At 34.7% G+C, this 16,100-nt stretch overlaps 1 long non-coding RNA gene across 2 annotated transcripts in view; it reads left to right on the top strand.

Moving 5' to 3' along the window:
* Positions 1-12,815, top strand: part of LOC105369895 (uncharacterized) — a 47,008-nt gene extending 34,193 nt beyond the window's left edge. For both annotated transcript variants that reach the window (XR_945187.2, XR_945188.2), the window contains exon 3: positions 12,751-12,815. This is a non-coding gene — a long non-coding RNA (uncharacterized LOC105369895). The remainder of the gene's footprint in view (positions 1-12,750) is intronic.
* Positions 12,816-16,100: the final 3,285 nt, after the last annotated feature.

The raw sequence follows: 16,100 nt of genomic DNA, 5'->3' as shown, positions 1-16,100 counted from the left end.
TGCAAATAAAAGACAATTAAGATCTTTAAACTAAATTTATTGTAATTTTGTCTCTTGACACAAACTACCATGTGATGCTGAAGATGCCCGCCAGAGAATGATACGTGTAGTTGCACTGAACTAGACCATGAAGCTAAGATATAAAGATGAATAGAAAGAAGACACTGGGAAAAGAAAAAAAAATAAAAAAAATTTATTGATTAGATGAATATATGTCACCTAATTTCCTATATTGCAGCAATACAAAAGTCTTGGGAATCTCAAAAATTTACCATACTTTTGGATAAATTTTGGGTAAAAAACACACCTTTTGTGTCCTTGCACATTGTATACCTTTCTTTTCAATAGGCCCCCCTCTACTATCCAAAATTGTGAAGGGTATTTTGGACAATGTGAGTGTGCCTTGAATTTATTCTGTTGGGAGTATGAAATTACTAAAATATTCTAAGTAGGAGAGTGGGATGACAATATTTTTATTTTATATGTGTCAATAGGGCAGCAGTGTAGAGGATGGATTGCTAGGGTCAGAAAACAAGCATTTAAAAATTACAAATTATAGATTCATGTTTAAGCAGTAAATTGATTTTTGGAATATGTGCCAAGATAATTTAACAGGGAAAAGATAGTCTTTTCAAAAAATAGGGCTAGACCAATTAGATAACTGTATGGAAAAATAAATGAGCCTAGATCCATATTTCATACTACCCCCATAAATTAACATGAAATAGACTACAGACTTAATGTAAGAGCCAAAACTCTTAAATTTCTAAAAAAAAAAAAAAAAAGGTAGAAAGCTTTGTGCTATTTGGTAAGGTACAAATTTCTTTACAAAGACCAAAAAGGTACAAACTATAAGAGATAACATTTACTAGAATGAACTTTATGTGCTTTTCTAAAGATACAGTTGAGAGAATGAAAAGGCATGTCAGAGATTGAGAGAAAATAATGTAAAATATATATTTAACAAATGTTTTTCATCCAGAATAAAAAATACTCACATGACTCATTAATAAAACTAACAATCCATTTTTGAAAAAGCAAATTGTTTGAACAAGCACTTTAAAAAGAAGATATCCCAGAACTTAAACTATATATATATAAACTATATATATAAAAAACTATATATATATATATATATATATATAAAGATATCTGCATGGCCAATGAGCTCATGAACAGATACTCCCATCACAATCTTCAGAGAATGCAAAGAGAAACCACAATGAGATCCCATTATCCACCCACAAGTCTTGCTAAAGTTAAAACAAAAACAGAAACAACTGACAATGGCATTTGCTGAAGATAATGTGGAACACGTAAAGCTCATGCATTCTTAATGAAATACAAAGTGGTATAGCCACTTTGGGGAACAATTTGGTTATTTTCTTTTAAAGCTAAACATATTTTCCATATGACTTAGGCACATTTTCTGTATTTTTTCAAAAATAAATGGAAACATATGTCTGCAGACTTGTATGTACATTTTTTTCTTTTTTTTTCAGACGGAGTCTTGCTCTGTTGCCCAGGCTGGAGTGCAATGGCATGATCTCGGCTCACTGCAAGCTCTGCCTCCTGGGTTCAAGCCATTCTCCTGCCTCAGCCTCCCAAGTAGCTGGGACTACAGGCGCCCGCCACCACGCCCTGCTAATTTTTTGTATTTTTAGTAGAGACGGGGTTTCACTGTGTTAGCCAGGATGGTCTCGATCTCCTGACCTCGTGATCCACCTACCTCGGCCTCCCAAAGTGTTGGGATTACAGGCGTGATCCACGGCACCCAGCCGACTGGTATGTAAATGTTAAAGCAGCATTATGGATAAAAGACAAAAACTGGAAACAGATGTCCATCACTTAATTAATAAAGAAAATGTGCTAATATCTATGATACAGAATACTATCTTATAATTGTAGGGGTTCTACAGGATTTGGGAAGTGATCAAGAAAATACATATGATCAATAAGTCAGTAAAACAGAACAAGCTTTATTGGTTGATGTTTGGACAGAACTGCAAGAGAGGGGCGGTCTCTTATATCATGAAACTGTCCAGAGGCTTAAGGTGAGGGACACCATGTAGACAGAGAACTCTGGGGGCAAAGGGGAATCAGAGCGAGAGCTTACATGTCTAGGTATTGTCATTCAGCAGCAGGGGAGTCTCTTAGTAAGTTACCAATGACCTCTGAATGGCAATGGTCATTTGGGGTCTTATAACCAAACGGTTCTAGGTTATCAATGACCAACAGATGTTGAGTGTAGTTTTGCAGAATATGCAAAGCAAGCAGACCCTAAATGACTAAAAACTCTGCTTGTTTGGCTGTTTTAAAAAACAATTACATGTGTAAAAATTCGAATGTGGTGTCAGTAGGCTTTTGTGCTAATGGATCTCAGAGTGCCCTGAAGAAACAAACAACCTACGGGCCAAAACACATGGTCCAAATTGGTTTATTTTATATTACAGTAATGAAAAGGGGAAAAATTACTAATACATTTATCCATATACATAAATCTCAAAAGCATTATTTTAAGTAAAATAAGTTAAAAACAGAATATACGTTTGTCCCCCTTATCCATGGTTTTGTTTTCTGCAGTTTCAGTTACCTGCACTTAAGTATGATATGATATTTTGAGAGAGCAAGACAGAGATACCACATTCACATAATTTTATTATACTATATTGTTATAATTATTCCACTTTATTATTAGTTATTTTTATTAATCTCTTATTAGACCTGTTATAAACTATATATAGTTTATAATATATAAATCATACACACACTATACATATACTGTACTATATATGTTTACATATATAAATATACTAGGTATATATATACACTTAGTGTGTGTATTTATGTGTTTGTGTATATATATATAGTGTGTGTGTATATATATATACACACGCACACATTTAGGGTATATATACATGTGTGTATACACACAAACATATATATATATATATGTTTGTTAACAGCCATGGTTTTAGGCATTCACTGGAGGTCTTGGATTGTATCCCTCACACACACACCCATATATAAGGACAGTTTACTATATACTGTTTGATTACATTTATATAAAATACTAGCAAAGACAAAACTATAATGGCAGAAATCAGATCAGTATTATATATCTAAAGACAATGGTTGAGGAAAGACAATAAAAAGGGAAGAAAACATCTGAAAGGGAATAAAACTGTTCTATATTTTGATTGTGGTAGTGGTTATACAACTGTGTATAATCACCAAAATTCATAAAACTGATCATTAAAATAGAAGACTGTTAGTTTATAAATAAATAAAGCTAAAAAAATAATTAACAAGGAAATCTATTTTACTTAAGAATTGTTTTCCAGGAGAAATATGAATTAAAAATGAAATTTTGATTTCTTTCTGTCGTAAGAATTGTTAGCCATTAAAATAATAGCAAACACCTTTATCAGCTAGTGTTACAGTTTAAGTGTGTCCTCCGAAAGTTCTTGTGCTGGAATTTAATCCCTCTGCCCTCATGAATGAATTAATGCCACTAACTATCATGAGAGTTTGTTTGTTATTGCTGGAGTAACTTTGTTATAAAAGAGAGCTCTCTGTGGTTCTCTTACTTTTGTTCTCTTGCCATATAATGCCTTCTGCCATGTCATGCTGCAGCAAGAAGGCCCTCACCAGATGCCAGTGCCATGTTCTTGAGAGTACCTTCAGAACTGTGAACTAAATAAACTTATTTTCTTTATAGATTACTCAGTCTGTGGTATTTTTTATAACAATAGAAAATGACTAAGACAATTAGATACGTGCCATAACAAAAATTATATTCCTTGAAATGGGATGTGGAACAGGTATATTTCAAAAAGGAAGGAAAAGTATGGTTATTTACAGGAAACTACTTTGTTTAGACAAGATAACAGTGTACTCTGGGCAAACAATGAGAGCCACAGATTTCTGGAGAACACACTGGTTTTTGTTGATTAATGGATTGCCTTTGAATGAGCAGTACAACATGCCACAGATTAGAAAGTAACTTAAGTGGGAAGTCATAAAGCACCAGAAGGAAATATCTTATGTTTAAATTCTTCCTAACTTGACTTTTATAGTATTACAGTTTACTTGTTATTATTCCCCACTGTATTATGATACAACTGGAATGGTGCAGGATCCAAGATCGTTAATATTCTAAAAAAACTTTCAATTGTCTTTGTAGTGCACCTTTCCACGCAACTTTATGTCTGGAAAATTCTGTCCTACTAAAATGATGAGAATAAATTTTAAAAAGAGAGAGACAAAGAGCAATAGTTAACTTCTCTTTCTATCTCCAAACCTTACCCACTTACCCCCTACAGCCCATTTTGTATACCCTTAGCTCTAGATTAGAACAGATACTAGATTTTTCAAGTCTTCCAAACTTTCTCTGGAGTAGGGCATCATTAAATTGTGTGATTTCAAAGAGGATCATCGTAGACAAAACAAGGCTTAATGCATACTAAGCTGTGAACACAACTAGTAAGTATGTTCCTTAGTTTTAATGTATTTCTATTGCATCTTAGAAGGAATTCTTCTAAAATTACAGGTAATTGCATGGAATAAAGCAAATATGAAATCTTAAAAGACTTTCTGAAGGGATACTGTGCAAAGATAATACAGTGTTCAAAAATGTTTAAAAGTTGTACTTTTGAAAGTGCACTGGTATTTACAAATTCTCTCAGGGCAGAAATTGGCAGAAATTATGATTTTGTATTTCTTCTTTCTCTACTGAGAATTCAAAATAGATAGTTCACCTTATTTGGTAGTAGACAACTCAATTTCCCCTTGTCTATATGTAATAGATAACATAAACTAGAATGTCACTTTATATTTTACTATTCATGAAGTCAGGAGATCTGGGTTCTAGCGTAGTTTTTTATCTTAGTTTATTTAGTCTCTTTTGCTCTAAACACCAATGCCCTCATCTCTAAAATGAGACAATGATATCAGCTCTGTCTGCTTCACAGTGAGGTTATGAATATCAAGTACTTTTGAAAGGACTTAAAATATGGCAAAGCCATCTATAAAAAGATGATGTGCTTAGCTCCAAAGTGGAATAATAGTAAACATACCATACAAGGTCATTTTTATTCATTCAGGTATTCAGTAATACAATCCCTTTTATTCCCCACTAAGCAAATATGAAATACTCGTGTTGTAGGGGCTATTTTATGTGCTTGAGATAAAGAGATGTAAAGGGCACAGTGTTACTCTTCAGGCACTCAATGTCTAGGCTAGGAGAATGACATGTGAGCTGCTAATTAAAATACAATGTCCCAGCTGCCCTACTAGAGATGCTAAACACCATAAACAGAATGCTGAAGAAACAGAAAAGTCCAGTAACTCTGCTGAAGAGAAATTCTTCATAACAAGGATAATTAGAGGTGCATTTTGAAGATTAATGTGATTAGAAGTTTGACTTGTGATAAGAGGATAGGGTTGAAAGTAAAGATTTAGGTTGGAAAGTAGTTGTAGAAGACCCAGTAGAACACTCTTGACTGAAGTTTCGCATGAAAGATACAAACCTTAGTCAATATTGCTACAAATTTAAGCTAGGTAAATCAGGAACAGTCATCAATAGCAGACTTCTGAATGGTTCAGAGTAATGAATTCAATCACATAATTGTATGCTCTCGGAAGATTATGACAGCCAACATCACTCTAGGAGCCAGAGAGAAAACAGGAGTCTGGAGTTACTGGGATGATAAACACATATGCTGTCCATTGAGAGTGATTACTATGTTTAATTGCAAAGTCTTACAAAAATTTCAAACCAGTATTAAAGGAGTCCATAACAGGAGTAAAGGCAAGACCTGACTATAAAACTTCCTGAAAGATGGAGGTAAGTATGGTAGTCTACAGATTTCTTTAAGCTGTCCAAATCTTGTATGCCTATGGAAGCACTTCGTAGCTTCTTCCTTTTCCCAGACTTAGACTAAATGGGAAAATAAAAGTTTTTTTCCCAGAGATATTATCACTTCTAGACTTAAATGTTAATGTTACTACTAAGTTATGAGAAATTTTAACCATGAAAAGTGATCTAAGCATTAATATTTGATAAAGAGCTTTAATTTAATCTTATAGGCAATAAGGACTCTAGCGAAAAAAAAAGACAATTTATTTTGTCTTCAGACAAAATCATATTTTCTGCCAATTTCTGCCCTAAGAGAATTTGTAAATACCAGTGCACTTTCAAAAGTATAACTTTTAAACATTTTTGAACACTATATTATCTTTGTGCAGTATCCCTTCAGAAAGTCTTTTAAGGTTTCATATTTGCTTTATTCCATGCAATTACCTGTAATTTTAGAAGAATTCCTTCTAAGATGCAATAGAAATACATTAAAACTAAGGAACATACTTACTAGTTGTGTTCACAGCTTAGTATGCATTAAGCCTTGTTTTGTCTACGATGATCCTCTTTGAAATCACACAATTTAATGATGCCCTACTCCAGAGAAAATTTGGAAGACTTGAAAAATCTAGTATCTGTTCTAATCTAGAGCTAAGGGTATACAAAATAGGCTGTAGGGGGTAAGTGGGTAAGGTTTGGAGATAGAAAGAAAAGTTAACTGTTGCTCTTTCTGCCTTTTTTTTAAAATTTGTTCTCATCATTTTAGTAGGACAGAATTTTCTAGACATAAAATTGCTAAATTAGTTTTTTTCAAATGATTATCTGGAAGCATCAAGATAGAAATAGAAATGGGGATGAGGGTGCAGTTGACAGGAGAGAAAGAAAATAAGAGTGATTTACTGACTTAGACATAATATTATCATCCATGAAGGAGTAATGATGGTGGTAGTAGTGGTAAAACAGTGATAGGGAGAAAGGATTGTACTTAGAAATACTTCAAAAGAGGCACTGACAGAATCCGATGAGACTGGTGTGAGGAGGAGCTAGAAAGAGGAGTTATGGATTCTGGTTTTGGAGTCAATGTAAATGGTAATACCCCCGATCTCAGATCATTACAACCTCTGCCTCCTGGGTTCAAGTGATTCTCCTGCCTCAGCTTCCCGAATAGCTGGGATTACAAGCAACTGCCAATATGCCCAGCTAGTATTTTTAGTAGCCACGCTGGTCTCGAATGACCTCAGGTGATGCACCCGCCTCAGACTCCCAAAGTGCTGGGATTCAGGCATGTACCACTGCATCTGTTAGTAACCTTAATTAAATATAGTACATAAGTGGGATGAGTGAGGCAAGAAAGATATTAAGTGCAATTTGGACATGTTCATTTTCCAGGGGCTTGTCGGGTATTCGGGTGTAGATGTCAACATGACAATTAGAAATATCATTCTAATATTCAAGAGAAAGATCACTGGAAATAAACACACAGAATCACTAACATATTTCAAGTCATGGAATAAGATGGAGTGATCAAAAACATCATTTTAACTGAAAAGAGAAGGAAAACATTAATAGCTAATCTCAAAATGAAGCACAAGCAAATAATTCTGAGGAAGAATGTTGCAGAGTAAAGGAAAGTACTATAAAAGAGGGTTATAAGAAAAAAGAGAAACTGGTGTAGACAGAGCAAAGTGCAATGGTGAGATTGGTAGGTGAAAAAAATGAGAGTACAAATGCAGAAAAATCAAGGTCATTGTTAACCTTAATACAATATTTTTGTATTATGGTCAAAATAAAATTTAGGGTTTAATGGCTTGAGAATTTAATTGATGCTGAGAAAGACTATAGCAAATGCAAAATGGACATCAATGCTTCAGAAGGTTTGTTTCAAAACAGTAAAAAAAAAATTGTAACTTGGAAGGAAATTGAAATAAAGAGGAAGAGATTATTTTCTAATTGATTAATCAATCATGAATTGATTTCATTTCATGGAGGGGATAAATTGCTAATAATAAAGGAGGCCAAGACTGAAATCTGGATCCAGTTTTTCTACTGTGGGTGATCTATAATAAAGATGGATTCCGGCTGGGCACAGTGGCTTACGCCTGTAATCCCAGCACTATGGGAGACCAAGACGAGTGGATTACCTGAGGTCAGGAGTTCGAGAACAGCCTGGCCAACATGGTGAACCCTTGTCTCTACTAAAGAAATACAAAAAATGAGCCAGATATGGTGGCCTGTGCTTGTAATCCCAGCTACTCGGGAGGCTGAGGCAGGAGAATCGCTTGAAGCCAGAAAGGGGAGGTTGCAGTGAGCCGAGATTGTGCCGCTGTGTTCCAGCCTGGGAAACAAGAGTGAAACTCCTTCTCAGAAAAAAGAACAAAATATGGATTTTAAATAAGAGAAAGAGGGGAAGAAGAAGAAGCAGAAGGAGGAAGAGGAGGAGGAGTATTGAAAAAGTAGGGAGTGGAAGAGACAAAGGGGAAGAGGAGAAGAGGGTGAGGAAGAAGATAATGAGAAAAAATAGGCCGGGCGCGGTGGCTCACGCCTGTAATCCTAGCACTTTGGGAGGCCGAGGCGGGTGGATCACGAGGTCAGCAGATCGAGACCCAGCTAACACGGTGAAACCCCGTCTCTACTAAAAATACAAAAAATTAGCCAGGCGTGGTGGCGGGCGCCTGTAGTCCCAGCTACTCGGGATGCTGAGGCAGGAGAATGGCATGAACCCGGGAGGCGGATCTTGCAGTGAGCCGGGTACGCACCACTGCACCCCAGCCTGGGCGAGAGAGCAAGATTCTGTCTCAAAAAAAAAAAAAAATGTGGGGGGGATCTTGGGGGTGTATATAGAGCAACAAACCTGCCACCATCACTACCCAAATACACCAATTTCATGAAAGAGCAAATTTTCAAATCTTGCATTCATAAGAAGATACCCTAACATCATAGCCAAATTGGGTGTACAGGAAGATACCAATTTATTCTTGCCTATACCAGAATTCCTCCTTCTTACTGGTTGAGTAAGGGGCAGGAGAAATCTAAAATAGCACACTGAGAGTTAAGCACCTGTAAACAAAGGAGATATTTGAACAATATAAGCTAAAGGCTAGAAAACTTTAGCTTATGAAAGTGAGATTAAAAATAATAGAGAAAATATTATACTTATGAAATGAAATCTTAGGGAAAGAAGAAGAAACCTATCTTTAAGCACGTGTGCTAAAAGGAGAATAATATATGTTGATGAAAATATGTACATTGAAAGGATGGGAGTATGGACCTGATCTTCCTATGGCCTCTGATTCTCTGAAGTGTGTAAGAATATCTTATGTACTCAGAGTGAGAGGGCTTCAGGAGATATATAACTGTTTACAACAAATCATGGAGCATCCAAATATTAAGATTATTTAATGGGATTACTCTCTAGCATTGTGAAGTGGGGAGAAATTATGAGAATCACAAAGACTAGTACATTTTTTTCACTGGATCTTGTTCTTCTCAAAGGCAGGAAATAGATCTTAACTGTGACCTCTATGCTGAACACAGGGCATAACATATTGCAGTGATGAAACTAAAATTAATGTAAAATTGGATCATAAATCATTATAACTTAAACAGATATCAATTCAGTTTCTGTATTTTAATTTTTAATACTGTATGTGTATATGTATTAGGGTTCTCTAGAGAGTTAGAACTAGTAGGATAGATGTGTATATGCAAGGGAGTTTATTAGGATAATTGACTCACACAATCACAAGGTGAAGTCCCACAGTAGGCCTCTGCAAGCTAAGGAACCAGGAAACCAGTCCGAGTCCCACAACTTGAAAAGTAGGTAAGGCGTGATACTGCAGCCTTCAGTCTGTGGCGGAAGGCCTGAGAGCCCCTGGCAAACCACTGGTGTAAGTCCTAGGGTCCAAAAGCTGAAGAACTTGGAGTCCGATGTTTGAGGGCAGGAAGCATCCAGCACAGGAGAAAGTTGGAAGCCAAAAGACTTAGCCAGTTTAGTCCTTCCATGTTCCTCTGCCTGTTTTTATCCTAGCTATGCTGGCAGTTGATTAGATAGTGCCCACCTAGATTGAGGGTGGGTCTGCCTCTCCTAGTCCATTGACTCAAATGTTAATCTCCTTTGGAAATACTCTCACAGACACACCCAGGAACAATACTTTGCATCCTTCAATCCAGTCAAGTTGATACTCAATGTTAACAATCACAGTATAGACATAAACTTTCTCCAGTTTTTAAAACTCATATAAAGGGGCAATGAGAAGGCTTAAAAAAGTTAGAGGTAATAAACTGTTCTCATTGTTACAAGTAAAAGCTTTTATTATAGATATAAAGTCCATTCGTTAACTTAAAAGTATGAGATGATCTAAATAACTTCAGGCACTCATAAAATTATCCTATGTTACATGTTAAATTGTGTATTATAATTTGTATATTAATTAAAAATTGATTTTTTCAGTTATAGAACAACCACACAGGGAAAAAAAAAACCCTAATAGCTTAGCAATACAATGAAAATTAATGCATTTTATCAACGAACTATTCTCCATAGTGGCAAGCAGTTATAAAACTGTTGACTTTTAGAAAATGGAACTGTGAATGAACCCAAGCTTAATACATCTTCAAGAAACTTTTCCTAATTAGTCATATTTGGGTATCCATATTTCATTTGACAGATTTTGCACATTGCTTTCTCCCACCCTCAGAATAACACAGAGAACATGCTACAGGTTAATTTCCTCATTTTTCTGAGCAATTGTTGGAGGCAAGTGTGGGAAATGAGGAAAATGTAGCAGTGACAAGGGACAGAAGTTGAAAAAAATCAGAAAAAAAAAAACCCTTACCAGTTCCTACTAAAATAGAAGTTTCATTCTTCGCAGTCTCAACCCACTGTTGAGTGTTGATTTTGCCAGAAAATAGTGAACTAATAAAATTTAATTATTTCATTATTTGTCACATCACTTAAAATGTGCCAGTGCTGCTAACATGATTTTCATAGTGGAAGTTCCGTTCAGTGATACCTCTACCCATCCAACGAAAATTTTGTTTTTGACTTCTCTGAAGGTATTAAAGCTAAAAGGCTGTAAGAAGTCAGATGGCAACTGCTTTCCAATTTAAAAATCCTTAAAATCTACTGTATGTGCCTTCTTCTATAGCTTATGTTTTTATTTATTTACTGTTTTGTTTTGAGAAGAAAAAGGGCAGCAAACACTGAATTCAAGTCTTAATAGCATGAGTATAGGTGCTAATTGTAGCAGCCTGTCTACTTTAAAGGCATGATTAAGAGGAATGAAACATATTTTTTTTCATTTTTATCTCAAAAAGCAGGAACATTTGAGACTATTTACATGAAGATGGTTGTAATACACCGTTTCTTGGGGAAAAATATATTTTTTCTTCAAGATGAGGTGCAATTTATCCTTGAGGTACTACAGATGTTTTTATGTAAAATTCTAATCATGATATTGTTTTTAGATAATTTTCTTTGGTGACAATATTTAACACTTTATCTTAAATATCTTATTCATCTAATAATATAGTCCTTGCTTCTGTTAGTTAGTATTCTTTATGATGAACCAAAGAATGACTCTGGGTTACTGAGGCACAAAGGGAAGATTCATTGGAAGAGCAGATGGTGGCTTGGGCAGCCTGGGAAAATTTAATGGATGGGAAAATGAGTGTCATAAATAATATGCAACAAGACAGGTCTAAGGATCCAGGTAGCAGGAAATAAGAGACAGTTTCCTAGAGCCACTCCTATTTGAGGAATCAGCTCTAATTCTTACCGTCTTTGTTGCTCTGCTGAAGACAAGACTTAGAAGAACGTGTCTGATGGGCTTCCATTGAGTCATAATTCTACCCCTTAGTAAAAACAAAACAGAGTATGTGGTAGTTCCAACCAGAAGGCAAAATATATAGGAAAGAGGCATTGCCTTATAGGAATTTGGAAAGCTAAAGGAAAAGATATAAATTGGAGGAAGGGAGATGGTTCTGGAAATACTATATTCTTGGTTTTTTGAAACCAAAAGTTATTCTTATGTTCATAAATAAGAGCTCCCTAATTCCTGTTCAGGTTTTGTTTTTTTTTTAAGTTTTCATTTCTTTTTTAATAGGTCTTTTTGGAGGGTATTTTCTTTAAAAATCATGTCAATCATAGAAAAGTTAATTTTGTCTTTTCAAATTCTATCAATAATGTAATCTTGTTCTAGTTTAAAATTGTTTCAGTTGAAATCTACACCTGGAAGGGAAGAACAAAAGGCACAATGGTGTTAGATTGTATTTAATCTAAGTAATGAATAGGAAATAATACACTTTTCTAATTTAGTCTGAGAACAGAGTACTATCAAACAAGATTCATCAGACAAATCAAAAATGAATCAGAATAACCACCAGTGTACAGCCATTTTTTGACAGAAATATTGTCTTGCAAAAGTATTCTTTTTTGGTTTGGTACACTGGAGATAAATTAAATGCTTCCTTTGACGCTTCTGTCTATTTGATATCTGTGCTGGTAATATAAACTAAATAAAAATAAAGAAATGCCATTTTGTTTTCATAGTCATATAATACCACTTAAATGACTATAAAGTAATTAAAGTCCATTACAAAGATAATGGGAAAGTTAGTTTGGTTTGCTTTTCCTGATGAAATACACAAACTCAAGAAAGGTATATTTTGAAGTGACGTTAAGTTAAATTAATTCAATTTGATTTAGTATGGAAACAGATCAACCTTCTAGTGGGAGGCATTTTTTTTTCTGTAAAAGTTAGGTACTAAGGAAAAGTATAAAGTACATACATTTTTTGTGTGAAAATATATGTGAGTTCCTGACTCAACTTTGCTCTGTGACCTTGAGTGATTTATTCATTTAATTTCTGTCTTCCTTTCTGCCTCCCTAGGTGATACTTAAATGTTCCCTAAAGAGTTAAACATGTACCCTAATTCTCTACAAGATACAATGCATCTTATGGTTGTGTCAAACATTCTGATGATTACTGTGATGATCACAAAGTGAAAAAGTTCATCGGGATATTAAAGCAGCAGCTACAGTTCTAAAGAATATGTGTTAATTTCATCTGTAAGCACCAGCTTTCAAGCCACTTAGCAAATCTTTTTTGTGGCGAAATCCTGTACTATTTATAGCATTTCTACTTTGAGAAGCATTTTATTTTTTAGGAATGAATTTTTAATGTCTTACGAAGTGTGGAACAATTCAAAATGGTAATATTACTACTAATAATTTTTGAATTAATAGGTTTTCCCAGCATGTCTTCATTAGGAGTAATTTACTAAAAATAAAATCAAGTTAAGCTTATGTCCACACATGCATCTCAACACATGTGCATAGTAAAATGACTTGGAAAAGTGAAATAAACCAAAATGTTGGCAAGTAGTGAATTTGTGGATTTTTACTTTCTTTATGCCTTTCTTCATTTTCCAGATTTCCTAAATTTGCCACTTCTGTAAGTAGTGAAAACCTTTGCTAGACTGGAACTTGACATGTCAGGAAAAATTTTGATGCTTCTGTTGGCAAGTTTTTGTAAGTTGGCAGGCCTAAAAAGACTACCGAGTTTCTTTCTTCCCCATCACCAGTTTTGGAAACACAAATTTATCAAAGTTCAGGACTACTGTATTAGTCCATAATCATACTACTATAAAGATACTTTCTGAGACTGGGTAATTTATAAAGAAAAGAGATTTAATTGACTCACAGTTCCGCATGGCTGGAAAGGCCTCAGGAAACTTACAATCATGGTGGAAGGGAAAGAGGCATGTCTTACATGGCAGTAGGTGAGAGAAGTGAGTGTGTGAGAGCACAAGAAAAACTATCATTCATAAAACCATCAGATCTTGTGAGAATTCACTCACTATCAGGAGAACAGCATGGCAGAAACTCTCCTCATAATCCAATCACTTCCCTCCAAACCTTTCCCTAGTCACGTAGGGATTATGGAGATTATGACTGAAGATGAGATTTGGGTGGAGAAACAGCCAAACCATAAAAACTACTAAAGGAATTCTCTGAAATACAGATCAACAAAATTTCTCTATGAACAGAAGTGAAAATTAAAAATTTAGTGACTATGAAACAAGGTTCTGCTTTTGTTATTGTGTTTAGAATAAATTTTTGCCTATAGAGAATATAAAATTTGTTTCCTTGGTAAAATTTATTAGGTCATTCAGTTTTATGACTTTCTCCAATTCAGCTTTTTTTCTGCATAACTTCTTTTAACAATAAAACATTACATTAGCATACTTCCAACTTAATGTTAGTTAAAAATAAACAAATGCTAATGGACTAACTTTCTCTCAAAAATACACTGCAATTAAGTCTTCCACCTTCTGGGGTTTGAAACAGTTCTTGGAATTAGGCAAAATGGTTTCATTTACCCTCCAAGGGTTCATTGTAAATTGATTATTTAAAAATTATTTAAAATTTCAGAAGACATGATTTGGCTCTTGTACAAGCAAGAAGATCAAAGATATACAAAGTAAGACAAACAAGATTTTAGAACTAAGAATGCCAACTAATTTAAACATCCAATAGTATTAATGAACATTTTTTTAAGTGTATTCTAGACAATTGGTTTATGCCATCGAGTAATTTTTTTTCTTTAACTTCAAGGTCAATGAGACAAATATTTGAAGCAGTTGTAGTTCAATGTGCAAAAGAAGAAAGTGGAGTTGCTTGATTTGAAATGGGGCCTGCCTACTTGTCTCTTGAATTTATTCCTTGTCTCCAAGCTGGAACTTAGGGTTTCTTCAGAAACCTTAGGATTTCTCAAAGCCCAGTTAGCAAACCCACCACTCAATTTAATATCGTTCATCATTTTTAAATTGTAACCAAATAGTTTTAGTTATATTTTGAGGATGGTTGGAAGGAAGCATGTGAAACACAGAAACAGCCAGTCAGGCTGTAATGTCCACTAAGCCACAATTCGTTGCTGTTCTGAGTATTCCATTTCAGTCTAATAGATCTCAAAAATATTACTTTGTAAATTATGTCTCTGCTAGTATGAGTGCCCTCAGCAAAATCACATTCTGTTACTCTGGAAGCAAATAAAGTTATAAACAAATTAGTTAATTTAATTGCAAGTTCCCATTTCAGAAACAGGAATTTATGGGGAGCTTTCAGTTAATCTGGTGATTAACAATCTGTAAAGGCTATGGCTTTTGGCTAAAGTTCATTGGTCATTTAAGCATATTTCTTAAAATGCAAAAGGAATTGGGACAAGCATTTACCTTGTAAAAGAGACCTGAGGATAGGAGGGATGTGCTCAAAGTCTGTAAAAAGCTATGGAACTACCTCAACTGGCATGCTACCCTAAAATGTTTCAGGGAGAGAGAAAATAGTGGATGTGAGATCTGTTGGAAGTTAACCATAAATAACTTTCTGCTGAAAAAAGAGAAATGATCACCTAATAAAGTTGAACCAGTTCATGCAGGTATTTCCTTTCCTACTTTATTCCCATTTTCCTATATACTGGTCCAGGATTTGTGCTTCCTCTCTACTTACTAGATTGAAAGAAACAAGTCCATACACCTGGTGTTGTTGGCCAGGTGACCAGGCTTTTGAAAACTGAATGTATAGCTATGTAATGACAACTGATATGTATACACACACTTACATTTAGGCCTCTTTAAATTCTACCTGAAATCCACATCTTCTTTAAATTAGGATGAAGGTGTCACTAAATCAAATGTTTTCACAATTTAAAATTTGATCCCAAAGAAGAGTTTTTTTTACAGCCACCACATAAGTAGATGCTTAACAAATATGACAATAATCCCAATACAGCCATCATGAGAACAAACATTTTTTTTGGCTAAAATGTATTAAATGATGACTCTATGTGGGCCATTGGTTTTCATTCTGTACTGAAGAGAGAGCCAGTAGAATTAGGCTTAATATCCTGAATGATCATAGACTGCATTTAGAAATAAGCCTTTTATCACACTGAGAGATTTTAAATATTTAGATGACTTATGAGGCCTGTAAAAGGCCCTTTTCTAGGGGCATCTATGTGATTTGTAGCATTTGTGTAAATCATCATATTTATTAACAACTACTGACCTTCATTATTCTGCCCTAAAAATCAGACAAAAGCAGCACATTCTCATTTCTTGGACTATAAATATATATTTCTTTCTGTATATTTTCTGACTTGGAGTGGTTGAGGCAGTTTTTTTGTTTGTTTAAAATGATGGCACTAACAGACAGCAGTGTTAGAAGTGACACTGATGTGAG

Source organism: Homo sapiens, chromosome 12 (genome assembly GCF_000001405.40).
Source record: "Homo sapiens chromosome 12, GRCh38.p14 Primary Assembly".
NCBI classification, from domain to species: Eukaryota; Metazoa; Chordata; class Mammalia; order Primates; family Hominidae; genus Homo; species Homo sapiens.
Note: the sequence above shows the minus strand (reverse complement) of the source record. Positions and strands in the feature narration are given on the sequence as shown.